Below are 27,849 nucleotides of genomic sequence, written 5' to 3' on the forward strand. Positions count from 1 at the left end.
TTCATTACTAGGGAAAAGAGTATCAGTCCTGTCTACCCCTTTAAGAGCTTACTTCTAAAAGGGCAAGTCAGCACATTTTAAATCAATATTGCAATTTTTGAATAGACATTTTCCTTCAGAAAGGATAATCTGTTCACATTCAAACCTGGTCTAAATTAAACTCTCTTTTAAACCAACAATTTACCTTCTCCCTTCCTGACTCTACACTCAACAAAACAACCTTTTGACAATTAACTTGTTTCCCAGTATGCTGACCCTAGAAAGAGGGTACCCTAAGAGGAAAACATACATCAATTCTTACACCAAGCATAAATTATTCCCCATTCTTAAGTTTGTTGAGTATAATTAACACAAAATAGTTTTCCAAAGGTATAATCAACCATAAGTAGCTTAAATTTTGTTTCTTGAATTCAAGAGGAAACTAGGCCCTAGAGAGGCTAGTGCATTAATCGGTTGAATAAAGTGATGAATCAGTACAGAACATTTCAAATACAGGGAAGAGATATTACACTGGCAATAGTGAAACACGGTTCTGCTTACACTTTAGTGTAAGAGTGAACAAATAGGAAGTAATCTGTGATTCTATCGCTGCTAAGCCCTGGAACATTTACTAAGAGAATAGAAACTTTTACTCTGGAGATTTTTTTCTCTTTTAAAATAATGGATAGGCAAGTGGTTTTGGGGGCTGTTTTGGGGTTTCAACTCTCAGAGAAAATTCAGTTAATTAGATGGCCTTGGGAAATTTTTTCTGTGTTATTCTATTATTCTCCATCCTTACAAAAAAAAAGTTATCTACTAAGAGCATTAGGAGATCTTCTGATATAGTACGTAAGGATCATCAAAGATGTCTCTGACAAAAATTTCTGCCTGCTACTATTGCAAGAGTAACCATAAGATAAAATTGTTCACCATAACAACATACTGCTACAAGTATTTCTTAGGAAATACATGTGTTGTTCCCAACCCTGTTCCTCCTCTATATCACCCTGCTTTACAATATGACTTGACCAGGTGTTCACTGGGATGAAAGATTAGAAGCCAAGAGTAGGTCCCTCACTTCTCCCTTTCACTTCGAACCCCTCAGCAGGGCTTAATGTCTAGCTTTGAAGCCCAACAGACTAGCTCTTATACTTACTAGTTATATGATCTAAGACAAGCTATTTAACCTTTTTGAGCATTTTCTCATTTCTCAAATAGGTAAAATAGCTATATACATCTCAAGATGCTTTTGCTAATACAATTATGTACAACAATCACCTTGTCCAGAAGGAAAAAATGGAGGGAGGGAGGGATAAATTACAGTACAGACCACTAAATGCTAAACATGTAAGCACAAGAGGCAAGAAAAACAAAAGAACAGCACCAAACTCAGCGTCATGGCATTGTAAAAGCATGAGGTGTGACAGTATACACATGGTAAACGAGGAAGGACCAGTAGTGCAGGAGAGCTGGGTCTTATGGTGTGTGAAGAGAAAAGACGAGGCTGGAGAAACAGGGCCTGAGGGCCATGTTAAGGAGGGGGACCATGGCCAGTTTTACCCAAGGATGTACCATGATCAAATGTGCTTCTGTAGGAGGACCACTCTGGTGGCACTGTACAAGACAAACCAACCTGGGCCAGGGCTGGAGGCAAGAAGATAACCTACATACACAATCTCTTCTTTATTTAGATAGTTTTGTCATTGTTTTAAGTAACATTCTCCCTCCCCTTTTAATCCAAATGATAGCTACTTCACAAGGGGTCTCCAACTGAAAAATGACTGGGTCTCACAGACAAGATCTATACAATCTGGTATAAGTACCAAAGGATTCAAAGTAAAAATGAGAAAATATGGAAAAAAATGTTCATTTCCACTAGGAATCAATGAGCTTCTAGCCAAGATGGATTAACAGGGACCAGATTCATTCTCCCACCTTAAACAACTAAAAACACCAGATAAAATACATGAACCATTTTCAGACATCAGACATTAAGCAACTCAAGGCAGTGGTCCCTGGAGGAGGGAACCAATGAGGTGAGCCCTACAATTGCTGGAGTCTACTGCCTAGAGAAAGTTTTCAGGCCACAGAGCAGGGAGGAGGAAGCTAGGTGGCGCCCAGCAGACACATGAGTTGAGAAGATAGGGTGGGAGTTTAGGGAACTTTGAGTGGCTACAGTTCTTCAAGACTGAGTGTGGAAGGGAAAAGAGCTGCACAGATAGAGAACCCCAGAAATCTGCAGATTCCCCTTTGAGTACCAGTGTGAGAAAACTACCCAAGACTGGGAAAAGGACTACCCAAGAAGAAAATGTTTTTTTTTTTAAAAAAAAAAGCCCCAGAACTCACACAGGGCCAGGTATAGTTCATGTTCCCACCAGCCATGGTGAGAAAACCTCATTAACACCCGGATCACAGGGTTAAGCAGTCAGAAGGGTATTGAATAACATGGCGAAATTTGCTGATCTAAAAGCAAATCTTCCAAGGATCAAACTGATTCCAAGTAACTTCACTGTGTCCCAGAACAAAGCTTAAGAATATTTTTTAAAGTACAAGACTATCCAGCACCCAGCAATATAATGTGCCCTAGTGATTCACTAGAGATCATATGTCTAGTGATCAAAAACTACCAGGCATGCAAAAAGTAGAAAACCGTAACATTTAACCAGGAAGCGAAACTAACCAATAAAAACACATTCAGAAATAACACAACAGAACTAGTAGACAAGAACATTAAGTTATGATAGCTATACTCCGTATGTTCAAGAAGGCACAGAAAAACATAAGCATGTTAAGGAGAGCCACAGAACACATATATAAAAGACCCAAATTAATCTAGAGATGAAAATACACTAGATGAGATTAACAGCAGATAAAACACTATAGAAGACCGATGAACTTGAGTCATAACAATAGAAATTACCTGAAAACAAAACACACACACACAGGGGGTGGGAGGGAAGGCTCAGAAGGAGAAAAAAACCCATAAACACACCCAAAAACTGGAAAATGAACTGAGCATCAGTGACGTGGGATAGCTTCAGGCAGCCCAATATATGTGTAATTGGAGGCCCTGAAGGAGAAGTGATGGAAGAGGGGGCAAAAAAAAAAACTAAAGAAATCATGGCCAAATTTTTTTTCCAAATGAAACAAATTTACAGATCCAAGAAGATCAATAAACCTCAGGAAAAATACATATGAAGAAAACTGCACCAAAAGACATCATAATCAAATTGCTTAAAACCAGTGATAAGGAGAAAAATATTAAAACAGCCAGGGGTGGGGGGTAGAGGGAGTACATTACATACAAAGATACAAAAATAAAAATGACAGTAAATTTCTCTTCTGAAACAATACAAATCAGAAGACAGTGGAGCAACATCTTTAAAGTACTGAAAGAAAAAACTATTTACCTACAATTCATTCAAAAATTAATGCAAAAGAAAGACTTTTTTAGACATACAGAATCTGAAAGAGTACCAACAGACCTGCACTATAAGAAATGCTAGCCTGGCGGGGTGCAGTGGCTCACACCTGTAATCCCAGCACTTTGGGAAGCCGAGGTGGGCGGATCACTGGAGGTCAGCAGTTTGAGACCAGCCTGGCCAACATGGTGAAACCCCATCTCTACTAAAAATACAAAAATTAGCCAGGCATGGTGGCACACATTTGTAATCCCAGCTACTCGGGAGGCTGAGGCAGGAGAATCACTTGAACCCGGGAGGCGGAGGTTGCAGTGAGCCGAGATCATGCCACTGTACTCCAGCCTGGGTGAGAGAGAGAGACTCCTCTCAAAAAAAAAAGAGAAAGAAAAGAAAAGAAAAGAAATTAATTAATTCTAGGCTGGGTACAGTGGCACACACGTACAGTCCCAGCACTTTGGGAAGCTGAGGCAGGAGGATGACTTGAGCCCAGGAGATCAAGACCATCCTGGGCAACATGAATAAACCCGCTCTCTACAAAAAATACAAAAATTAGCCAAGTGTGGTGACATGAGTCTGTAGTCCCAGCTACTCAGGACGCTGAGGTGGGAGGATCGTTTGAGCCCAGAAGGTCAAGGCCATAGTGAGCTATGATTCCACTACTGTGCTTCAGCTGGGGAGACAGAGCGAGACCTTGTCTCAAAAAACAAAACAAAACAGAAAAGAAATGCTGAAGAAATTCCTTCTAGCAGAAGAGAAAATGACAGCAGACAGATATCTGGGTCTACACAAATGACTTATGAGCACCAGAAATGGTAAATATGTGGACAAATGTGAAATATTTTACCTTATTCTTAAAATATTTTAAAAAATAATTGTTTACAGCAATACTTTTTTTTAAATTCCAGCCTGGGAAACATGGCGTAACCCCATCTCTACAAAAAATACAAACAAAAATTAGCCAGGTATGGTGGTGCACATATACGGGAAGCTGAGGCAAGAGGATCCCTTGAGCCCAGGAGGTTGAGGCTGTAGTGAGCCATGATTGTGCCACTGCACTCCAGCCTGGGTGACAGAGCAAGACCCTGTCAAAAAAGAACAAAGAACTGCAGATCTTGATTAACTAGAAAAATCACTTAAAAGAAAACTGAGGGCTAATATGATTGTAGGTGTGGTCACAGAGTGGGATCTATTCAGTTATGGAATAAATTGGGGTGAAGGCAGGTTCAGAGCACGATCATCAGACAAGTGTTTTTGATTAATAAACACTTAATAATAAGCAGTGGGTTTTTGATTAATAAAACACCACACAGGTATCAAAGGAAAAGTAAAGGGGAGGGTAAAGTAAAAAGAAATGAAATTTAGTATCAGACAACAGATTTCAGAGCAAAAAATATTATTAGATATTACCCAGGATCAATAAAAGTCATTTCCTAACAATAAAGGAGCCAATTCTTAACAGCCCTACAATGCTGCTCATTCACAGGAAAAAAAATGGGCAAATGAAAATAATAAATTATCTGCTTTGAGTTATCTTTGGTTTATCGAATTAAAAATAAATTTTTAATAACGGGGAAAATACTTCGTTGGGAGAAAATTCTATATGAATATTTTGATATTTCTGCATGGTCAGGGCTTTCCAAGCAAAGGACACTGACGAGTTGATTGAATAGCAAAGGCCTTGAAAGGCAGAGACAGTATCTCCCTAAAGATAAAGAAATCTGGAGAAATTTAGAAATGTAAACCTCTTTACTTCCTGTTCCTGAAACATGTGCTTATACTCCAGGATAATAAACTTAGTGATACCTTCCCTCTCAACCCTGGAGATTTGCTTAATAAGTAATCTCAATCTCTCTCACTCTCTCCCCAGAGAAGAGGATGGGCAGATGTGCCAGTAATTTCTATTTAAATGAATCTCAGAAGTTTAGGGTTCTTCTCCTTTGGTGCAACTTCCTGCATGCACAGGGATCTCACCTGGTTCTCATCCCATCCCCTCACTCACCGTGGTGACCGGTGCTTTGAAAACAAAAAAACTAGGCCGGATGCAGTGGCTCATGCCTGTAATCCCAGCACTTTGGAAGGCCAAGGCAGGCGGATCACCTAAGGTCAGGAGTTTGAGACGAGCCTGGCCAACATGGGGAAACTCTGTCTCTACTAAAAATACAAAAAATAGCCAGGCGTGGTGTCATGTGCCTGTAATCCCAGCTATTCAGGAGTCTGAGGCAGGAGAATCGCTTGAACCCAGGAGGCGGAGGTTGCAGTGAGCCAAGATTGTGCCATTGCACTCCAGCCTGGGTGACAGAGTGAGACTCCATCACAAAAAAAAAATAATAATAAATAAACAGAAATTAGTGCTAAGGTATTGCTATGGCTGCTGCATTTTGCTGTAATAAACCATCCTTCTCTGTGATCCAAAAAGCCTCATGTCTCTTGCTAGAATATATATATGTATAAAATATACATATATTACACATAATTGTGTAATTTACAACTATAATATAGAATATATGTATATTATATAGATTATATATTATTCTATGTGTATAACATAGCTTATATGTGTATAATTATGTATATGTATATTATATGTGTTTTATATGTATATGTATGTAATATATACACATATACACACACACTCTTGAAAGCAGGGAAACTCTCAGACCCGTCACAGTTTCTGACGTAACATACTTATGACAAAAAGTCACCACAGACCTACCACTCAGCTATCCATGATTCTTATTTTGATGTATTCTCTTCTGAATTTTCTTTCTATAATGAACATCTGGTACTTCTGATCTTTAAGACTATAAAAAGTTTAACTATCAGAGTCCAGAATCAAGATGGCCGAATAGGAGCAGCTCCGATCTGCATCTCCCAGCGTGATCAATGCAGAAGACGGTGATTTCTGCATTTCCAACAGAGGTACTGGGTTCATCTCATTAGGACTGGTTCACCTGGGAAGCACAAGGGGTCAGGGAATTCCCTTTCCTAGCCAAGGGAAGCCGTGACAGATGGTACCTGGGAAATCGGGACACTCCCACCCTAATACTGCGCTTTTCCAACAGTCTTAGCAAACGGCACACCAGGAGATTATATCCTGCAGCTGGCTCGGCGGGTCCCCCACCCATGGAGCTTTGCTCACTGCTATAACAGCAGTCCAAGATGGAACTGCGAAGGTGGCAGTGAAGCTGGGGGAGGGGCGTCTGCCATTCCTGAGGCTTGACTAGGTAAACAAAGCAGCCAGGAAGCTCGAACCGAGTGGAGCCCACCACAGCTCAAGGAGGCCTGCCTGCCTCTGTAAACTGCACCTCTGGCGGCAGGGCATAGCTGAACAAAAGGCAGCGGAAACTTCTGCAGACTTAAACGTCCCTGTCTGACAGCTTTGAAAAGAGTAGTGGTTCTTCCAGCATGGAGTTTGAGATCTGAGAATGGACAGACTGCCTCCTCAAGTGGGTCCCTGACCCCCAAGTAGCCTAACTGGGAGACACCTCCCAGTCGAGGCCGACTGACACCTCATACAGGTGGGTGCCCTTCTGGGACAAAGCTTCTAGAGGAAGGATCAGGCAGCAACATTTGCTGTTCTGCAATATTTGCTGTTCTACAGCCTCCGCTGGTGATACCCAGGCAAACAGGGTCTGGAGTGGACCTCCAGCAAACTCCAACAGACCTGCAGCTGAGGGTCCTGACTATTAGAAGGAAAACTAACAGAAAGGAATAGCATCAACATCAACAAAAAGGACATCCACACCAAAACCCCATATGTAGGTCAGCATCATCAAAAACCAAAGGTAGATAAAACCACAAAGATGGGGAGAAACCAGAACAGAAAAGCTGAAAATTCTCAAAACCAGAGTGCCTCTTCTCCTCCAAAGGATCGCAGCTCCTCACCAGCAATGGAACAAAGCTGCACGGAGAATGACTTAGACAAGTGACAGAAGTAAGCTTCAGAAGATCGGTAATAACAAACTTCTCTGAGGTAAAGGATGATGTTTGAACCCATCACAAAGAAGCTAAAAACCCTGAATTCTACCAGAGATACAAAGATGAGCTGGTACTATTCCTTCTGAAACTATTCCAATCATTAGAAAAAGAGGGAACCTCCCTAACTCATTTTATGAGGCCAGCATCAGCCTGATACCAAGACATAACAAAAAAAGAGAATTTTAGACCAATATCCCTGATGAACATCGATGCAAAAATCCTCAATAAAATACTGGCAAACAGAATCCAGTAGCACATCAAAAAGCTTATCCACCATGATCAAGTTGGCTTCATCCCTGGGATGCAAGGCTGGTTCAACATACACAAATCAATAAACGTAATCCATCATATAAACAGAACCAAAGACAAAAACCACGACTATCTCAACAGACGCAGAAAAGGCCTTCGACAAATTTCAACAGCCCTTCATGCTAAAAACTCTCAATATACTAGGTATTGATGGGACATATCTCAAAATAATAAGAGCTATTTATGACAAACCCACAGCCAATATCATACTGAATGGGCAAAAACTGGAAGCATTCCCTTTGAAAACTGGCACAAGACATGAATGCCCTCTCTCACCACTCCTATTCAACATAGTGTTGGAAGTTCTGGCCAAGGCAATCAGGCAGGAGAAAAAAATAAAGTGTATTCAATTAGGAGGAAGTCAAATTGTCCCTGTTTGCAGATGACATGATTGTATATTTAGAAAACCCCATTGTCTCAGCCCAAAATCTCCTTAAGGTGATAAGCTACTTCAGCAAAGTCTCAAGATACAAAATCAATGTGCAAAAATCACAAGCATTCCTATACACCAATAACAGACAAACACAGAGCCAAATCATGAGTGAACTCCCATTCACAATTGCTTCAAAGAGAATAAAATACCCAGGAATCCAACTTACAAGGGATGTGAAGGACCTCTTCAAGGAGAACTACAAACCACTGCTCAATGAAATAAAAGAGGACACAAACAAATGAAAGAACATTCCATGCTCATGGATAGGAAGAATCAATATCGCAAAAATGGCCATACTGCCCAAGGTAATTTATAGATTTAATGCCATCCCCATCAAGCTACCAATGACTTTCTTCACAGAATTGGAAAAAACTATTTTAAAGTTCATATGGAACCAAAAAAGAGCCTGCATTGCCAAGACAATCCTAAGCCAAAAGAACACAGCTGGAGGCATCATGCTACCTGACTTCAAACTATACTACAAGGCTACAGTAACCAAAACAGCATGGTACTGGTACCAAAACAGAGATATAGAACAATGGAACAGAACGGAGCCCTCAGAAATAATACCACACATCTACAACCATCTGATCTTTGACAAACCTGAGAAAAACAAGAAATGAGGAAAGGATTCCCTATTTAATAAATGGTGCTGGGAAAACTGGCTAGCCATATGTAGAAAGCTGAAACTGGATCCCTTCCTTACACCTTATACAAAAATTAATTCAAGATGGATTAAAGACTTAAATGTTAGACCTAAAACCATAAAAACCCTAGAAGAAAACCTAGGCAATACCATTCAGGACACAGGCATGGGCAAGGACTTCATGACTAAAACACCAAAAGCAATGGCAACAAAAGCCAAAATAGACAAATGGGATCTAAGTAAACTAAAGAGCTTCTGCACAGCAAAAGAAACTACCATCAGAGTGAACAGGCAACCTACAGAATGGGAGAAAATTTTTGTAATCTACCCATCTGACAGAGGGTTAATATCCAGAATCTACAATGAACTTAAACAAATTTACAAGAAAAAACAAACAACCCCATCAACAAGTGGGCAAAGGATATGAACAGACACTTCTCAAAAAAAGACATTTATGCAGCCAAAAGACACATGAAAAAATGCTCATCATCACTGGCCATCAGAGAAATGCAAATCAAACCCACAATGAGATACCATCTCACACCAGTTAGAATGGCAATCATTAAAAAGTCAGGAAACAACAGGTGCTGGAGATGATGTGGAGAAATAGGAACACTTTTACACTGTTGGTGGGACTGTAAACTAGTTCAACCATTGTGGAAGACAGTGTGGCGATTCCTCAAATATCTAGAACTAGAAATACCATTTGACCCAGCCATCCCATTACTGGGTATATACTCAAAGGATTATAAATCATGCTACTATAAAGACACATGCACACGTATGTTTATTGCAGCACTATTCACAAGAGCAAAGACTTGGAACCAACCCAAATGCCCATCAATGATAGACTGGATTAAGAAAATGTGGCACATATATACCATGGAATACTATGCAGCCATTAAAAAGGATGAGTTCATGTCCTTTGCAGGGACATGGATGAAGCTGGAAACCATCATTCTGAGCAAACTATCACAAGGACAGAAAACCAAACACTGCATGTTCTCATTCATAGGTGGGAATTGAACAATGAGATCACTTGGACACAGGGTGGGGAACATCACACACCGGGGCCGTAGGGGGTGGGGGGCTGGGGGAGGGATAGCATTAGGAGAAATACCTAATGTAAATGGTGAGTTGATGGGTGCAGCAAACCAACATGGCACTTGTATACCTATGTATCAAACCTGCACATTGTGTACATGTACCCTAGAACTTAAGTATAAAAAAAAAAAAAAAAGGAGGCAGGATTATCACTTGTTCCTCGCAGCTCTGGACTCCCAGGAAGAGGCAGCCTGGTCAGATTCTGGGAAACAAAAGAAACCTTTTGTTTCCGTCAAGTTTCAAACAGAGGACCTTCCGTGTGTTAGGCCAGCGTGGTAACTACTACACCACAGAAACCCTTTGCATTGCAGGCTTTTTATGTTTTGCGATGAGTATTAAATACTTGTTTTTACAATTTTTTTTAGTTGACAAATAAAAATTGTATATATTTATGATGTAAAAAAAAAGTTTAACTCTCTTTTTTTTAAAGGGAACATCTACAAATCTATGAAATCTTCCCAATTAAAGTAACGATACTTAAAACCCTATCTGAAAACAAATCTGAAAAAGAAAGGTAGACTTGAGAATCATCAAAATAAAGAATAAAAAGGAAACAAGTAAACCACATGGTTTAAAAAGAAAGAAAGGCTGGGCACAGTGGCTCACGCCTGTAATCCCAGCATTTTGTGAGGCCGATGTGGGTGGATCACTTGAGGTCAGGAGTTCAAGACCAGCCTGGCCAACATGGTGAAATCCATCTCTACGAAAAATACAAAAATTAGCCAGGCATGGTGGCACACACCTGTAGTCCCAGCTACTTGGGAAGCTGAGGCAGGAGAATTGCTTGAGCCCGGGAGGCGAAGGTTGCAGTGAGCCGAGATCACTCCACTGCACTCCAGCCTGGGCGACAGAGCAAGATTCCGTCTCAAAAAAAAAAAAAAATAAAAATAAAAAAAGGACGATGAGCTATAAAGAGTGCATTATAATTCAAAACAAAGCTTTACAAACATGAAAACCTGCCAAAGGAGATGTCCAAGAGCCAACATCCAGATGGGAAGTATTGAACAAAAACTTGTTTTATATACTAAGGTGAGCATGTGGAAATGTTTTTCCATTTTATAAAAACGTTACGGCCTAATGTTGCAACAAAGTCGAACTGCAAACATCACAAAGAAACCTCAGAGCAATGTCTGAGTTCTGGAAGGAAATAAATTGGAACATACCCTTATTATCCTGGCAGCCTCCAAAAGGATTCGGCAACGCTCCATGCCAGATTTTTGACTCCATATTTTAAAAGCAGCCTTTGCATTTTGAACAGCCAAATTTACTTCCTTTTCTCCTGAACATGTGAAAGTAGCTATCACTCGGCCTATAAAGAGCGGAAACATCAGTTTTAACTCAAATTGTTGCCACATATTTAAATAAAATATTATCTATCAATATTCTCTTAGTAGTAGTCTTTTTTTTTTTTTTTTTTTTTTTCTTGAGATGGAGTCTTGCTCTGTCACCCAGGCTGGAGTGCAGTGGCGCGATCTCGGCTCACTGCAACCTCTGCCTCCTGAGTTCAAGCGATTCCCCTGCCTCAGCCTCCTGAGTAGCTGGGACTACCAGTGCACGCCACTACGCCCAGCTAATTTTTTGTATTTTTTAGTAGAGACCGGGTTTCACCATGTTGACCAGGATGGTCTTGATCTCCTGACCTTGTGACCCACCCGCCTCAGCCTCCCGAAGTGCCGGAATTACAGGCGTGGGCTACCGTAACTTCTTGTTTTTATGTATGGTTTGATTTAGTGACCATCTCTATACTAGCAGGTTTTTTTGTTTTGTTTTTTTGTTTTTTAAGACGGAGTCTCGCTCTTGTTACCCAGGCTGGAGTGCAATGGCACGATCTTGACTCACTGCAACTTTTGCCTCCTGGGTTCCAGCAATTCTCCTGCCTCAGCCTCCCGAGTAGCTGGGATTACAGGCGCCTGCCACCACACACAGCTAATTTTTGTATTTTTAGTAGAGACGGGATTTCATCATGTTGGCCAGGCTGGTCTTACATTCCTGACCTCAAGTGATTCACCCACCTCTGCCTCCCCAAGTGCTGGGATTACAGCCATGAGCCACCACACCCGGCCTAGCAGTTCTTAACTGTATTTTGCGGTCATTGACATTAGGAGTCTGATAAAAGTTGCAGACCTCTCTCCAGAAAAATCTACTTAAACATATAACAGAATTACAGGAATGTCATGTCCCCTGCCCTAAACTCATCAAGGATTTAGAGTTAAGAACCCCTGCCCTCTACTATTTTACAGTTGAGTTTACTAACATTAACTTCTGATTAAGTTTTGCAACACTCCTAAACATTATCTCAGAATCTCAGGGGTCTTGTAAAATGAAAGTCAAAAGTAATCAGTCTATTGGGTTATAAACTCTGACTGTAAATCCCTTGTCTATATTCTATGTAGGTTATATCATACTACTTGATACTTGATAAATATAGTTAATAAGCAGTAATATCAGGATAAGGCAACCCTAAAGGAACATTTTTTTTTTCTCAAAAATTCCCAGATTTCCTTTTCTTATTCCACCTTTATTCCCTCTCCCTATTCTGGTGCAAATTATGAAACAATCAGTTTTTCTAGGCCCATAGCCCAAGGACTGTACTGCCTCTACCAACAAGAATTCTTTAAGTTTGCCAACTCAGCAAATCCTCTTCACAAGAACTCCTGGGACTCTTTCCAGGGAGATTTCACAAATCTGCAATTTCTGTTACAAACTTGAATAGCCAGCTGGTAAAGGCGGTGGCTGAGGATCACACACACTGTAGGCAATTAAAGCAAAGAGCAATTTTTCTTTCTTTTGTATCAGGATTAAGTCGGGGTAGAGAAGCTGTTTCCTCCTATATAAAGAAGAGATGTGATAATGCCTTCTGGCTCTGCCAAGTCACTGCTCTGTGGTTTAGTGTGGATGGTCAAATACTAAATTCTCCAGTCCCCTGCAAATCAGTTTTATTGCTCTGGCTACATTTTACACAAAATATTTACATTTTTCTCCCCACATATATTCCATAAAACCCAGCAAAATAAACACAACACAAAACCAAAACAAAAAGCCCCTTCTTCCTTATCTCTGTGACCTTCAGAGTTCCCAGAGTAAATCCAGTGCCTAGCACAGTGCTTAGCACACATTAAGCACTGGATTAAAAAGTTTTATTTCAGCAAGATGAATAAATTGTGGAGAGCTCACGTAGACCATGGTGACTATGGTTACCAATACTGCATCATATACTTGAAATTTGCTAAAAGAATAGATCTTAAATATTTCACTATCCAAAAAAAGCCATTAACTATGCAGAAGCAATGGATAATTAGATTGACCGTGGTAACCATTTTGCAAGGTATACATACATTACAACACGTTTTACACCTTAAGTATATACAATTTTTATTTGTTAATTATACTTCAATAAAGCTGGGGAAGAAAGTACTGAATAAAGGTGGGGTTTTTTCCTTTCCCAATTCTGATTAATGTGCAGAAATATTTTAATATTAGAATGTGGAGACAAAGTCCTCATTCGTAGTCATTAGAAACTATCTGTGAGCGTTCCTTCATTCCCAGCACAAATGATTATCTTCCCCACAACCCCGCCCCGTTCTTTTAGAATTCCTCTCCTATGCACACATTTGAAGACAATAATACATCAGTCCTGGTTTTAAAAGGGGGAACAGTTGGCTGGGCTTGGTGGCTCACGGCTGTAATCCCAGCACTTTGGGAGGCTGAGGCGGGAGGATCACCTAAGCTCAGGAGTTCGAGACCAGCCTGAGTAACATGCTGAAAACCCGTCTCTACTAAAAATACAAAAATTAGCCGGACATGGTGGTGGGAGCCTGTAATCCCAGCTACCAGGGAGGCTGAGGCGGGAGAAGCACTTGAGCCCGTAAGGTAGAGGGCGCAGTGAGCTCTGAGATGGTGCCCCTGCACTCCAGCCTGGGCGACAGAGTGAGACCCTGTCTCAAAACAAACAAAAAACAAACAAACAAACAAAACAAACAAAAAAGGAAGTTAACAGAGGCACGACTTCCCCCACCAGTACTTTGCGAACTCTGTTCTGGCCCGGGTAAAACAACTCACGATCCTACCACGCAACTCATCAGCTTTGCTTTTCCTCCCTACCCATCCCTGCCCGGAGGCACTCGCGTTGCCCCAGAATCGCTAGTTGCCTACACACACAACCTTAGACTCTCCACTGTCACTGTCTTGTGCTCAAGTCAACGCTGCAGAACACAGGAAACGGGGGCTGGCCGGGAAATCCGCGCATCCGGCCCCAGGGCGCCCCAGCCTCCCCGGCTCGTTGCAGTTACCGGTTGCTGGCTCGAAAGCTTTCTCGGTACCGGAGGCGTCCGCCGGCTCCACGCGGGCCCCGCCGCGGTAATTGAGCGGCTGCGACACGACGAAGGTGCCAGTGCTCATGGCGGCGACAGGAGAGGGCCGAAGACTGCGAAGAAGCGGGGAGAGCGCGGCCAGGCCTGCTCGGAGAAACATGAGTGGCGGACGCAGCTCCGCGGCAGAGGCTGACGGGCCGCGGGAGGGGCGGGGCCGCGGGAGGGGCGGGGCCGCGGGATCGGTTCTAGGAGATTTTAGGGGCAGTCACTCGATTCCTCTGCGGTCCAGGCCAGGCCCTCCCCTCGCCAGGAGGGTGGAGCAAGACACCACATTCTCCCCACCACCCCGCCATACCCCACACAGTCTCCAGGCGGGAAGAGGACTTCCTTCTTCGTGATCAATATTTGCGTAGCACTTTGCAAGTGTTTTCGGGTTCATCATTGCATGTAAGCATCCTAGGATCCCATTCTTAATCCTATCGCCTGAAGAAGGCAGAGGATTGGAGTGCCAAGAGTCTTTGGTGGTTACTTCACTGCTAAACCACCGTTTCTGTAATTGTATAATGCTTTTTAAAGGGTGACAGTAAAAAGCAAGGGGACTGTGAACGAGATAGATGATATTGTGATCTGAAACTGCTTTTTAAATTCTTAAAGAGAGACTGGGCGCTGTGGCTCTCACCAAGGCTGGAGGATCGCTTGAGCCCAGGAGTTTGCGGGCAACAGAGAGAGATCCCGTGTCTATAAAAAAATAAAATAAAAATAATAAAAATTGGGCCGGGCGCGGTGGCTCACGCCTGTAATCCTAGCACTTTGGGAGGCCAAGGCGGGCAGATCACCTGAGGTCAGGAGTTCGAGACCAGCCTGACCAAAATGGTAAAACCCCGTCTCTACTAAAAATACAAAAATTAGCTGGGTGTGGTGGCGGGCGCCTGTAATCCCAGCTACTTGGGAGGCTGAGGTGGGAAAATCGCTTGAACCCGGGAGACGGGTTGCAGTGAGCCGAGACTATGCCATTGCACTCCAGTCTGGGTGACAAGAGTGAAACTCAGAAAAAAAAAAAATTATCCAGGTGTGGTGGCACACGCCTGTGGCCCCAGGTACTTGGGCGGCTAAGGTGGGAGGATCCCCTGAGCCCCGGGGGTCCAAGCTTGCAGTGAGCTATAATCGTGCCACTGCACTCAGGCCTGGGCAACAGAGCGAGACCCTGTCTCAAAATAAATAAATTCTGAAGGAGCAATGTAAATGCTATTAATGACAAATATTGATAGAAACAGAAGCCTAACATACAGAATACGAAGAGCAAAGGCCACAGGAAAAAGTGTCAGGAAACAAAATGCCTTCTGTAAGACAAAGCAGCCACCCAGAGGCACTCACAGGTCTGTCAGCTGAGGGATCTTGCACAAAGGTTCATTCTTCTCACCAAACTTCCATGCACCTCCAGTAGAGACTTTGACAAACAGAAAGTAATTGGCAATTTGGACATTTCTTTTAGGATTGTTTCTCTTCTGGGGGCTGCTGTCTTTCTCAATGTTTTTTCCTTTACCTGCCAGCTCACCAGCGCAATATTAGGGAGTGTGGTTTTCAGGTTTAGAGTATATATAATGTATTCTGATCAAGTTTTCTGGCACTCTATACCAGTTTGTTCACTTTTTCAGTGCTACTGAGATGTGTAGGTCTTGGTCCTCAGATGGAAACAGCAGTGCCCAAACTCAGAATACCTGAGGCCACACTCACATATTATTTTATTATTGTCCATTGCAAACAGAATTGAAACATATCAGGAGTTGGTGACGAGCAGCACTATAGATTTCCAAGATCACTGAATGGTCATTTAGGTACAGAAACTATACGTCTCAAATTTTATGGGACAATTTCTATTTAAAAGATTCTGTCCCCAACCAATGCATTTTGACTTGTCACATCATAATTCCTGATGTTTGTTTTGGAAATGTGGTCGTGATGTCTATTGAATTAATTCATAGATGATAAGACTGACAAACCTCTGGCCAGGCACAGGACTCACACCTGTAATCTCAACACTTTGGGAGACCGTGGCAGGAGGATCGCTTGAGGCCAGGAGTTCAAGACCAGCCTGGGCAACATAGTGAGACTCTGTCTCTACAAAATATTTTTAAAAATTAGCCGAGCATGGTGGCACAAGCGTGTAGTCCTGACTACTCAAGAGACTGAGGTGGAGGATTGCTTGAGGCCAGGAGTTCAAGACTGGAGTGAGCGATCATGGCACCACTGCTCCAGCCTGGGCAACAGAGTAAGACCCTTCCCCAAAGAAAACAGATCTCCTCCAAAATATCTACCTTTTAAATATCTAGCTGTTCCTCTTACCTATCTGTGCTTTTATTATTAAATTATTATTTTTAACTTTTAGGTTCAGGGGTACATGTAAAGATTTGTTACATAGGTAAACTTGTGTCATGGGGGTGTGTTGTATAGATTATTTCATTACCCAGGTATTAAGCCTAGTACCCATGAGTTATTTTTCCTGATCCTCTCCCTCCTTCCACCCTTATTATTAGATTATTAATGTATTATTTTTCATTAGCAAAATCCAACATGTAGAAAGAGCTTTATAGGTTACAGAGCCCTTTCACATTTACTTTCTCACATGAAGCTCATAATAACCCTACAAAAGAAAAGGAAACTAACAGAGATTGAGCTAGGAGGTAGTATGTGGCACTTTGTCAAATATCTCAGTGACAATCATGCAAGATAGGTTTTATCATCCCCATTGTACAGATGAGGAAACTAATAGAAAGGTCGTAGAGCTTCCCCATAAAGGAGCTAAGGCTGGAGTCCAGCTCTGTGCAAGTCCAAAGTAAATTTCTTCTTACTACACCAGGTCGAGATGTTGACCCCATGAAGGTTGCTATCAAAATTCACTCTTATGTTGGTGGATATTTATCAGAAACCCAGAAATCTGGTTCTAGGGAGATTTAAAGGACATGTAAACTTCTTAGGATATTTGTCAGCACTACCCAGTAAGCAGCCCAGAAGTCACAGAGGATGCTGGCCAGTTTACAAGTTCAGGGTGAAATTCAAAGGGACAAAGATGCCACAAGGAGCAGAAGGAATGCCAAAAGAGAAACACCTCTTAGATGGGTGTGTGTTGGAGGGCAGATTTGGGGGTAAAAAGAGATAGAAAAGGAGTGGAATCATTGCTAAAGGGGTAGAAGATCCAAGGAGAAACTGCCTGCCTCACAACTTGCTTAAAGCCAAACTTGGGTGCCACTAAAGCCCCCTCCTTTTCCACATTTCCTTCCCCAGACAACCAGAGGAGGAAAAGAAAAGCAACTGGATCCCCTTCTGCCACCTCCAGGTCTCCTAAAGGAAGAAGTCCTTGGGAACCCATACTGTGTGATCCAGGGTCCTTCACTGGCCTCTCCCTCAGGTCATCCAGTTGTCAATTTGTTGCTTTGGCTTAGTTTCACCATTAGCAGTACTCTTCTTGGACACAACCTCCAGAGTAAAAGCAAATGCCGGATGCGGTGGCTCACACCTGTAATCCCAGCACTTTGGGAGGCGGAGGTGGGTGGATTGCCTGAGCTCAGGAGTTCCAGACCAGCCTGGACAACATGGTGAGACCCCTGTCTCTACTAAAAATACAAAAAAAAAAAAAAAAAAAAGCCAAGTGTGGTGGCGCACACCTCTAGTCCCAGCTGCTGGGGGGTTGAAGCGCGAGGATCGCTTGAACCTGGAGGCAGAGGCTGCAGTGAGCCAAGATTGCAACATTGCACTCCAGCCTGGGCGACAGAGCAAGACTCGCTCTCCAAAAACAAAAAAAAAAAAAAAAAAAGAAAGAAAAGATCTTTAGGGAGTACTAGCTCTTAGTCTGTCCTCTAGAACTATTAATACATCAAACACACACACACCACATTTATTTTTATTTCCTGAACAATAGTATGTTTACTACTGTTGCAACTCCTTCAGTGGGGAGCCAGAAAACCATCCACACAAAAAGAAAGGAAAAAATTACTCAGAATCCTGTTCCTGCCCATTTTAACAGGGCCTTTCACTTAACAATAATTTACAGATTGAATTTTATTTTAAGCCTGAGTGTCCTCACATTCTTCATATACAGAATGTAATTTTCTCACTGAAGACCTAACAGGTTTCCTAATCTAGGCAGCCTGACACTAGGATTAGGTCCTTAATGAATATTTGTTGAATGAACACATCAGTCAGGTGTTACAAACCAGGACTTTGAAATCACTGCGCTGATGAGGATGTCCCCTAATGCTACTTAGGCATCTCTGCTTGGATAATCTAGTCTTTTTCATTTTTAACAGCTTTTTAGGCTATAATACTCATATTTTCAAAAATAGGTTTAATTTATAAACCTGAGGTAATATGAAACAGTATGTGAAAGTGGTCTAAAAATTAGAAAGCACTATACAATTGCTATTATAATAACAATGTTCATAGTTTGCAGTGCCTTCGTGTTTTTCTCAAATGAAATTCAGGGTCATTGACTTTGGAATTTGTTCTTGGAGTTGATAATCAGCTAGAGGCTAAAGGCTACTGAGCTTACAGAAAAATTTAGAATCTGTCTGTTATCTAAGACAGTAGCATTATATAGAAATTATTCCAACTCTTCCAAATGTATAAGATATAAAAATGAGAGATTCAGAAGGTTTTTTTAAAAAAAGGATATGATTTTTGTTTTCTGGGAAAGGATCTCACTCTGTCATCCAGGCTGGAGTGCAGTGGTGTGATAACTTCTCACTGCAGCCTCAATATCCTGGGATCAATCAATCCTCCCGCTTCAGCCTCCTGAGTACCTGGGAAGACAGGTATGTACCAGGATGCCTAATTTTTCTTATTTTATTTTATTTTTTTAGAGACAGGGTCTCATCATCTTGCCCAGGTTGGTCTCGAACTTCTGAGCTTAAGCAATCCTCCTGCTTCAGCCTCCCAAAGTGTTGAGATTACAGGTGTGAGCCATCACCTGTATATACTGATATGTATATCAGTGGTTTTTTCTGGGCACACACCTGTCAGTGTTTTTTCTGGGCACACACCTGTAGTCCCAGCTACTCAGGAGGCTGAGGTGAGAGGATCTGAGGGGGAAGGATTGCTTGAGCTTAGGAATTTGAGACCAGCCTGGGCAACACAATGAGACCCCAATTCTAAAAAAAAACCCAAAACTTTAAAAACTCAAACAAAGAGGCCAGGTGCAGTGGCTTACACCCGTAATCCCAGCACTTTGGGAGGCCAAGGCGGGAGGCTCACTTGAGGCCAGGAGTTTGAAATCAGCCTGGGCAAAATAACAAAACTCTGTCTCTACACAAAGTAAACAATAAAAAATTACCCAGGTGTGGTGGTACATAACTGGGGTTCCAGCTACTCAGGAGGCTGAGATGGAAGGATGGTTTGAGCCTGGGAGGTCAAGGCTGCAGTGAGTCATGATCACACCACTGTACTCCAGCTTGGATGACAGAGCAAGACACTGGCTCAAAAACAAACAAACGAAAAACCAAGCCATTCTGGCATACCATTTAAGTTAAAGGCATTTGAAAAATAGCAGGGATGCTGAGGTGAGAGTATCACTTGAGCTCAGGAGGTTGAGGCTACAGTGAGCCATGATCGTGCCACTGCACTCCAGCCTGAGCAATAGAGTGAGGCCCTGACTCAAAAAAAAAAGAAAAAAAAGAAAAACAGCAGGTGCAAAAAGATCACTGTAACCTTTGTGCTGTTTCTTCTTCTTTTTTTTTTTTTTTTTTTTTTTTTTGAGACAGGATCTTACTCTTTTGCCCAGGCTGGAGTGCAGTGGCACTGTCATGGCTCACTGCAGCCTCAACCTTCTGGACTCAAGCGATCCTCCCACCTCAGCCTCCCAAGTAGCTGGGACTACAGGCATGTGCCATCACACCCAGCTAATTTTTGTATTTTTTGTAGAGACAGGATCTTGCCATGTTGCCTAGGCTGGTCTTGAACACCTGGGCTCAAATCATCTGCCCACATCGGCCTCCCAAAGTGCTGGGATTACAGGCATGAGCCATTGTGCCCGGCCTTGTGCTGTTCCTTTAAAGCTAAAGATGAAATTCCCATGTGAAAGAAGCAATATCCTTATCTTTAAGGACAAGAAATCAAGACCAAGAGAATTCTGTACAGACCTTGTTAAAATAACTCTTACCTTTTAAGTCCTTCCACATAATTTAGTTGCTTCATCATAACTTACCACTCTTTGTCCAATTCAGTATATAAGGAACTGACTCAAACTGCTTCTTTTCTTGTGTGCCACCTAAAACCTGCATTAAATATATTCGTGCTGGGCACGGTGGCTCATGCCTGTAATCCCAGAACTTTGGGAGGCCCAGGCTGGTGGATCACCTGAGGTCAGGTGTTCAAGACCAGCCTGGTCAACATGGTGAAATCCCGTCTCTACTAAAAATACAAAAATTAGCCAGGCGTGGTGGTGTGCACCTGTAATTGCAGCTACTTGGGAGGCTGAGGCAGGAGAATCGCTTGAACCCAGGAGGCAGAGGTTGCAGTGAGCCGAGATCGAGCCACTGCACTCCAGCCTGGGTGACAGAGTAAGACTCTGTACCAAAAAAAAAAAAAAGAAAAAAGAAAAGAAAAGAAACAGCACACACAGACACACACAAAATTTGGATGCTTTCTCCTGTTAATCTGTTTTATGTCATTTTAATTCTCCAGCCCAATCAGGAGTCTAAGAGAACAGAGGTGGAGTTTTGCCGCCCCTACAAGCTGCATTTGCCCATATGGCTTGTTTTCTTAGGACAGAATCCTAGAAGTGGAATTGCTAGGTCTAAAGACATAATTGTTTTTAAACTTTTTGATACCAATTTGCAAGTAGCCTTAAAAAAAAAAAAAAGACCGGGTGCGGTGGCTCATGCCTGTAATCCCAGCACACTGGGAAGCCGAAGCGGGTGGATCACCTGAGATTGGGAGTTGGAGACAAGCCTGGCCAATATGGTAAAACCCCGTCTCTACTAAAAATACAATAAATTAGCCGAGCGTGGTGGTGGGCGCCTGTAATCCCAGCTTCTTGGGAGGCTGAGGCAGGAGAATTGCTTGAACCCGGGAGGTGGAGTTTGCAGTGAGCTGAAGTCGCGCCACTGCATTCCAGCCTGGGCACGACAGAGTGAGAGACTCTATCTCTAAAAAAAAAAAAAAAAAAAAAAAAGTCTTGTCCAACAGAGCAGGCAGCCTTTTTTTGGCTAGAGGTCTTGAGGTATAGTTTACAATTAATAAAATGCACTCATATCAAGGGGACAGTACAACAAATTTTGACAGAGGTATGTAATTACTTCATTCATGATATGCAGGGAGTTTTTTTATTATATGACTGTAAATATTAATCACCATTAAGCCAAGTAGTCTATTTTAATTATATTTTCTTTTTTGCATAATTTTTTATTTTTCCAGTTCACAATTGCTTCTAATTTTCTTATGAATACTTGACTAAGTCTTTCCACACCCTCTGACAGCTCTGTAAAACAAAGTCAATATATAATTTCTATATGGTCAAACCTATGAGATAATTTGTGTGGCTTTTTGTTTTGTTTTCCTTGGAGATACCTGTACGGGAGTTTTCCAACCTCCTCATCTACTCTGGATTGCTTGTTCTCTCCACCTGCTCCCCCACTCTTGCCCTGGGACTTGTCTTTGCTGTCATCCCAAGCATTCCCTTTGCCCCTGCCTGCCAATATCCTCTGTTTCCATGTCTTCCTCTTTCTTCGTATACTCCCTTATTTTAACAGAGACATCTTCTAGTAGTAGCTTCTTGAGAAAGGGCACAAGGAAGGTAAATCATTTGAGACTGCCCAAATGAAAAATATTCATTCTCTCACATATGATTGATGATCTAGCTGTGCATAGATAAGTATAGTATTCAAGTTGAAAACAACATTCTTTTAGAATTTTAAATGTAAATTCCATTATCTTCTAGTTTAGAATTGCTATTGAGAAATCTAATTTGTAGGCAGTTTTTCATCTGCCTTTCCAATGTTTTTTGAGAACCCATTCTGCACCAGGCACTGAATTAGATGTTAGGAGTATACAAACCTGAATACACAGGCACATGGTAAGAACTTAATAAGTAGCTGTTGTATTATGTAGCCAGTTTCCTTAGGTTCCTTATTTTTTCTTTACCTTGAGTCATAGAAAAACACAATAGAGAAATCAGAAGTTTAATGAAAGTGCTTTGGACAATTTCTAACATAAATTACAATTCAGAACGTTTAAAAAATCCCAACCTATCCAATCTCTAAATGCCACATATCCAATCCATTATCAAGTGTTAACATTTTTGCCTTTAAAATATATCTTGATTCAGCTAAGCTATGAGGATGCAAAGACATACAGAGTGATATAATGGACTTTGAGGACCCAGAGGGAAGGTTGGGAGAGGGATGAGGGATAAAAGACTACATATTGGGTACAGTGTACACTGCTTGGGTAATGGGTACACTAAAATCTCAGAATTCACTGCTACAGACCTCATCCATGTAACCAAAAACCACTTGTACCTCAAAAGATATTGAAATTTAAAAAGAGAAAAAAAGAAGAAAGACCTTATCTTTTTACCTTAAATAGGAAGACATCACAACAGAGAAATCCATGCTTTTTAATAAAGAACAGAACAGAGACTATTCACCATGATTAGTCAGAACGTACGTTCTCTTTTTATCTCTGAATTAATTAGTTTTCAGATCAGCTGCATTATCGAAGGCAAAAATAGCAATGGCAAATACAGGAAATAAATTTATTTCTCTATTATATAACGGTCCATGCTAAGCAGTCCAGGGATAATATGGTGGCCCCCAAAGTATTAGGGACCAAGGGACCCTCTGTGTTCTTGTTCTGACATCCTCACGTTAACTTCTCCATGTTCCTTGAAAGGCTATTCTCTTTCAGCTTCTGGTAGAAGAGCTTCTGACATAACAAGACGTGGCGATGATTTTTTGTATCAATAATCAGCATCCACAGTGATTCTGATGCAAGCGTCCTTGGACCACATTCAAAACAATTAAGCATTGTTTCCCATGTTATGACTCTCAGAACACTAATTTTGCAAGATGCTCCATATAAAAAGGATTCTGTTGATAAATAAGTTTGGAAAACTGTACTTAACACATTCCCATTTTGGAAATCACAATGATTATTACCATATTTTGAACTTAAATAAGTGCTGCAGTAAAGAAATCTGCTCAATGTTATACAATCTGATGTTTCTCAATCTTATTTGAGCTCAGCATTGTTTTTTCAGGTGACTTACTAAACTCTGTAGGAAATGCTGTTTAAGAATCAGATTGGGTAAAATGGGGAAGAGATCATTAAAGTTAGCAAGTAAGGGATCTTTAGTATCTTTAAATAGAGCAATTTCAGTTGAAGGGCGAGAAGAAGCCAGGCTATAATAAGTTATGGAATGAACCAGAGGTGCAATGTGTACATTGAACATACAACTACATTTTCCAAAAGGATAGTGAAAGAAAGAAAGGTGCAATACAGTTTCAGGAAGAAAAAAGGAGTCAGGAAGAGGGAGAACTTGCAAATCCAAGAGGAATAAGAAATAACTGGGTCATCAAGTGGAATGGAGACTGCCGAGGAGGTGAAGAGAGAGGGCTGAGAGAAGCAGCAAGAGATTTGTTCTGGGGACCCAGAAACCCACGGTACCCTACTGAAAATCAAATCCCTTGGAAACCCACAGAGACAGCAGCAAAAAAAGGGATAAAGACACTCAACACCAGGAACTCACCTCTCTCTCTGCCTCTCTCCCCGTCTCTCTCTCTCTGCCTCTCTCCCCGTCTCTCTCTCTCTGCCTCTCTCCCCGTCTCTCTCTCTGCCTGCCCTAGTCATCTAGTCTCCAAACTCCCAGTCCCCTGTGCCCCTTCCTGGGATACCATGTTGTTCTTCATCCTCCTGCTAGAGGTGATTTGGATCCTGGCTGCAGACGAGGGTCAACACTGGACATATGAGTGCCCACATAGTCAGGACCACTGTGGCCAGCCTTTTACCCTGAGTGTGGAAACAATACACAGTCCCCCTTCGATATCCGGACAGACAGTGTGACAATTGACCCTTAGATGACTGCTCTACAGCCCCATGGATATGACCGGCCTGGCACTGAGCCTTTAGACCTGCACAAGAATAGCTACACAGTACAACTGTCTCTGCCCTCTACCCTGTATCTAGGTGGACTTTCCAGAAAATATGTAGCTACCCAGCTACACCTGCACTGGGGTCAGGATGATCCCCAGGGGGCTCAGAACACCAGATCAACAGTGAAGCCACAGTTGCCGAGCTCCACATCATACGTTATGGCTGTGATTCCTGTGATAGCTTGAGTGAGGCCGCTCAGAGGCCTCAGGGCCTGACTGTCCTGGGCATCCTAATTGAGGTGAGTGAGACTAAGAATATAGCTTATGCCAGCCTGGCCAACATGGTGAAACCCCGTCTCTATTAAAAATACAAAAATTAGCTGGGTGTGGTAGTGGGCACCTGTAATCCCAGCTTACCCGGGAGACTGAGGTAGGAGAAGAATCACTTGAACCTGGGAGGTGGAGGTTGCAGTGAGCTGAGATTGCACCACTGTACTCCAGCCTGGGCAACAGAGCGAGACTTAAAAAAAAAAAAAAAAAAAAAAAAAGAATGTAGCTTATGAACACATTCTGGGTCACTTGCATGAAATCAAGCATAAAGATCAGAAGACCTCAGTGAGAGAGCTGCTCCCCCGACAGCTAGGGCAGTTCTTCCTTTACAATAGCTCGCTCACAACTTCCCCTTGTTAGTAGAGGGTGCCCTGGACAGTTTTCAGTCCAAGGGCCCAGATTTCAATGGAACGGCTGGAAAAGCTTCAGGAGACATTGTTCTCCACAGAAGAGGGGCCCTCCAAGTCCTGATACAGAACTACTGATCCCCTCAGCCTCTCAACCAGCAATGACCTTTGCTTTTTTCATCCAGATGGGATCCTTGTATCCTACAGGTGAAATGCTGAGCCTTGGTGTAGGAATCTTGGTTGGCTCTCTCTGACTTCTGCTGGCCATTTTCTTCATGGCTAGAAGGCTTCAGAACAAGAGGCTGGAAAATCAGAAGAGCGTGGTCATCACCTCAGCATGAGCCACCACTGAGGCATAAACTCCCTCTTAGATACCTTGGATATGGATGCCTTCCCCTCGTGCCTCCAGAGGTGCTTTCCCCTCATGTCTCACCACCCCTCAGGGAACCTCTAAAATGGGGTGCAGGGACTGGCCGGAATTACTGTAGGAGTAGTAGGCGCTTCTCCTCTGGACATCCCCTGCAGAGAGGTATGGACCCAGGCTCTCATTCAAGGAAGAACAGCAGAGCCTTCAGCCCCTCAAAACATGTAGGAGGAGATCAGGGCATCCCTGTGTTGTTAGTGCAGAGGACAAACTGTGTTTAGTTTTAGGGGAAGTTTGGGATGTACCCCAAAGTCCTCCACCATCTCACCTTTATGTCCCTTTCCCTAGATATATTGCAGGATCTCCCCTTAGGAGAAAGAGTTGCTGTTGGGGTTATATATTTTTGCTCAACATATTTGGAAACTAAAGTTTCTGGAGGAAAAAAAAGGAAATAAGAAATAATTGATGCAAAGTCCCAAAGGCAGCAAGAAAGAGTGGAGCCAAGAGGACAAGTAAAAATGTAAAGAGAAGAAATACTGTTTTTCTTTCCTCAAAAAAGAGAAAAGGTGAAAAGATGAGTACAGATATATGTTTGGAAGTGAAGGAGCATGGCTGGAAGAGAGCTGGTTTTCTCTGTGAAGTAGGAAGAAAAATCACCTGCTGAAAATAAGGAGAAAAGAAAAAGGAAGATAAAGTTTTGGAACAGCACTTCTGGGAGATAACAAACTTCGCTAACTAAGAATTAGTAAAACGGTTGTTGAGCAGTACTCAGTGCTGAGTTGAATATTGAATAGATTTTTTTTCCATCCTCACTCAGTGGTCCAGGAGGAGAACAAGCAGGTGCTCGGATTCATCTAGGGTTGAGGATTAATGGGGTAATGCGGCAGAAAAAGAGGAACAAAGGACCTGAAGGCCCTTGTGACAATGAATGATAACTTCTTTTTCAATAAAAGAAAAAAAGGCCGGGGGCGGTGCCTCATGCATGTAATCCCAGCACTTTGGGAGGCCCAGGTGGGTGGATCACCTGAGGTCAGGAGTTCGAGACCAGTGTGACCAACGTGGTGAAATCCTGTCTCTACTAAATACAAAAAATTAGCCAGATGTGGTGGCACATGCCTGTAATCCCAGCTACTTGGGAGGCTGAGGCAGGAGAATCATTTGAACCCGGGAGGTGGAGGTTGCAGTGAGCCGAGATTGTGCCACTGCACGCCAGCCTGGGCAACAAGAGCAAAACTCCATCTCAAAAAGAAAGAAAAAGAGAAGAATGGGGAAAAGTTAAGGTTGTGGAAGCATCTAAGATATGTGTGTTCAAAGAGATTTCTCTGTTCAGTATTTCAGAGCTTTAGGTGGTGATTACATTAATTCATGGGAATGAATTGTTGGAGTGAAGTGGAGGGGAAGTCTGCTGCAGTAAAGGATGTCTAGGAATTGCAAAGCTAGTTAACAAGGTATATGATGAGCAATGGCTACTTTTAAATCTTGGCTCTGTCCCTTAACAACAAATGAATTTGAACAAGTTGCTTAACCTTCTCAGTGTCTGTTTTCTTATTTTTTTTTTTAAAAGGAGAAAATTATAACTAACGGTAGGAGCAATGTAAGAAGACAACATATGTAGGCCGGGCATGGTGGCTCATGCTTGTTATCCAAGCACTTTGGGAGGCTGAGGCAGATGGATCACTTGAGGTCAGGAGTTTGAGACCAGCCTGGCCAACATGGTGAAACCCTGGCTCTACTAAAAATACAAAAATTAGCTGGGGGTGGTGGCGGGTGCCTGTAATCCCAGCTACCCCAGAGGCCGAGGCAGGAGAATTGATTGAACCTGGAAGGTGGTGGTTGCAGTGAGCCAAGATTGCCTCACTGTACTCCAGCCCAGGTGACAGAGCAAGACTCCATCTCAAAAAAAAAAAAAAAAAAAAAAAAGACAACATAAGTAAAATATCTGCCACAGTGGGCTCAATAAGTAGAAGCTGCTACTACTGGATTGGTCAACTATAAGGATGTCATAGACACCTGGAATTATGGCAGAAAAGAGAATAGAAAGGAGCTGGGCATGGTTACATGCACCAGTAATCCCAGCTGCTCAGGGGGCTAAGGCAGGAGGATCACCAGAGCCCAGGAGTTTGATGCCAGCCTTGGCAACATAGTGAGGCCCTGTCTCAAAAAAAAATAAATAATTTTTTTAAAAGAAAAAAGGATATAAAGGAAAAGATTAAGCTGTGTGTTTAAGTCCTCAACAAATCTGAGGGTGTGACTTGTAAGTTGCTAAAGGAGAGTATCGAGATTTGAGAAAACCCAGATGATGTTAAGTCCCTGGCAGTGCCTTCTGGGAGGTATTCTCTTCTCTGTCCTCCATATGCTCATCTTAAGTGGATATTGAAACTTCTGCTTCCAACCATGATGAAATAACTGGAACCAGACTTTCCTTCCTGCCTTAAACAACTAGAAAACTGGACAAAATATAGGAAACAATGATTTATAAACATTGGACAACAGGTAGCATAGGCGGTCATCTCTGAGAGAAGGGAAACAAAGTCAGCTCTTCCAA

General features: G+C 42.3%; 1 protein-coding gene and 1 pseudogene across 3 annotated transcripts in view, besides 5 other annotated features; one reads left to right on the forward strand and one right to left on the reverse strand.

The window, feature by feature from the left end:
- Positions 1 to 14,345, reverse strand: part of ALDH9A1 (aldehyde dehydrogenase 9 family member A1) — a 36,347-nt gene extending 22,002 nt beyond the window's left edge. The window contains exons 1-2 of one of the 2 annotated variants that reach the window (NM_000696.4): positions 14,161 to 14,345; positions 11,035 to 11,180 (exon numbers count right to left, since the gene is read on the reverse strand). In NM_000696.4, coding sequence (NP_000687.3) covers positions 11,035 to 11,180; positions 14,161 to 14,341 — 327 coding nt within the window. In that variant the 5' untranslated portion in view covers positions 14,342 to 14,345. Of the gene's footprint in view, positions 1 to 11,034; positions 11,181 to 14,032 lie in introns of both variants that reach the window. The other variant, NM_001365774.2, reaches the window with a different exon arrangement.
- Positions 14,081 to 14,310: an enhancer, noted in NCBI's record as "active region_2019". NCBI's record gives its function as "activates an Ori minimal core promoter by ATAC-STARR-seq in GM12878 lymphoblastoid cells {active_cell/tissue: GM12878}" and the evidence as "EXISTENCE:reporter gene assay evidence [ECO:0000049][PMID:35858748]".
- Positions 14,081 to 14,780: a biological region, named in NCBI's record as "H3K27ac hESC enhancer GRCh37_chr1:165667608-165668190".
- Positions 14,154 to 14,736: an enhancer, noted in NCBI's record as "H3K27ac hESC enhancer chr1:165667608-165668190 (GRCh37/hg19 assembly coordinates)". NCBI's record gives its function as "activates a minimal SCP1, AML or CMV promoter by ChIP-STARR-seq in naive and primed H9 embryonic stem cells {active_cell/tissue: H9 hESC(naive and primed)}" and the evidence as "EXISTENCE:reporter gene assay evidence [ECO:0000049][PMID:30033119]".
- Positions 14,341 to 14,530: a silencer, noted in NCBI's record as "silent region_1501". NCBI's record gives its function as "represses an Ori minimal core promoter by ATAC-STARR-seq in GM12878 lymphoblastoid cells {active_cell/tissue: GM12878}" and the evidence as "EXISTENCE:reporter gene assay evidence [ECO:0000049][PMID:35858748]".
- Positions 14,533 to 25,751, forward strand: CA14P1 (CA14 pseudogene 1; annotated as a pseudogene). Its single transcript, NR_036683.1, has 4 exons — positions 14,533 to 14,628; positions 17,464 to 17,774; positions 24,358 to 24,562; positions 25,148 to 25,751. The product of NR_036683.1 is annotated as a CA14 pseudogene 1 (transcript).
- Positions 14,601 to 14,780: an enhancer, noted in NCBI's record as "active region_2020". NCBI's record gives its function as "activates an Ori minimal core promoter by ATAC-STARR-seq in GM12878 lymphoblastoid cells {active_cell/tissue: GM12878}" and the evidence as "EXISTENCE:reporter gene assay evidence [ECO:0000049][PMID:35858748]".
- Positions 25,752 to 27,849: the final 2,098 nt, after the last annotated feature.

The sequence above is a fragment of the Homo sapiens genome, chromosome 1 (assembly GCF_000001405.40).
Source record: "Homo sapiens chromosome 1, GRCh38.p14 Primary Assembly".
In the NCBI taxonomy this organism is placed as follows: domain Eukaryota; kingdom Metazoa; phylum Chordata; class Mammalia; order Primates; family Hominidae; genus Homo; species Homo sapiens.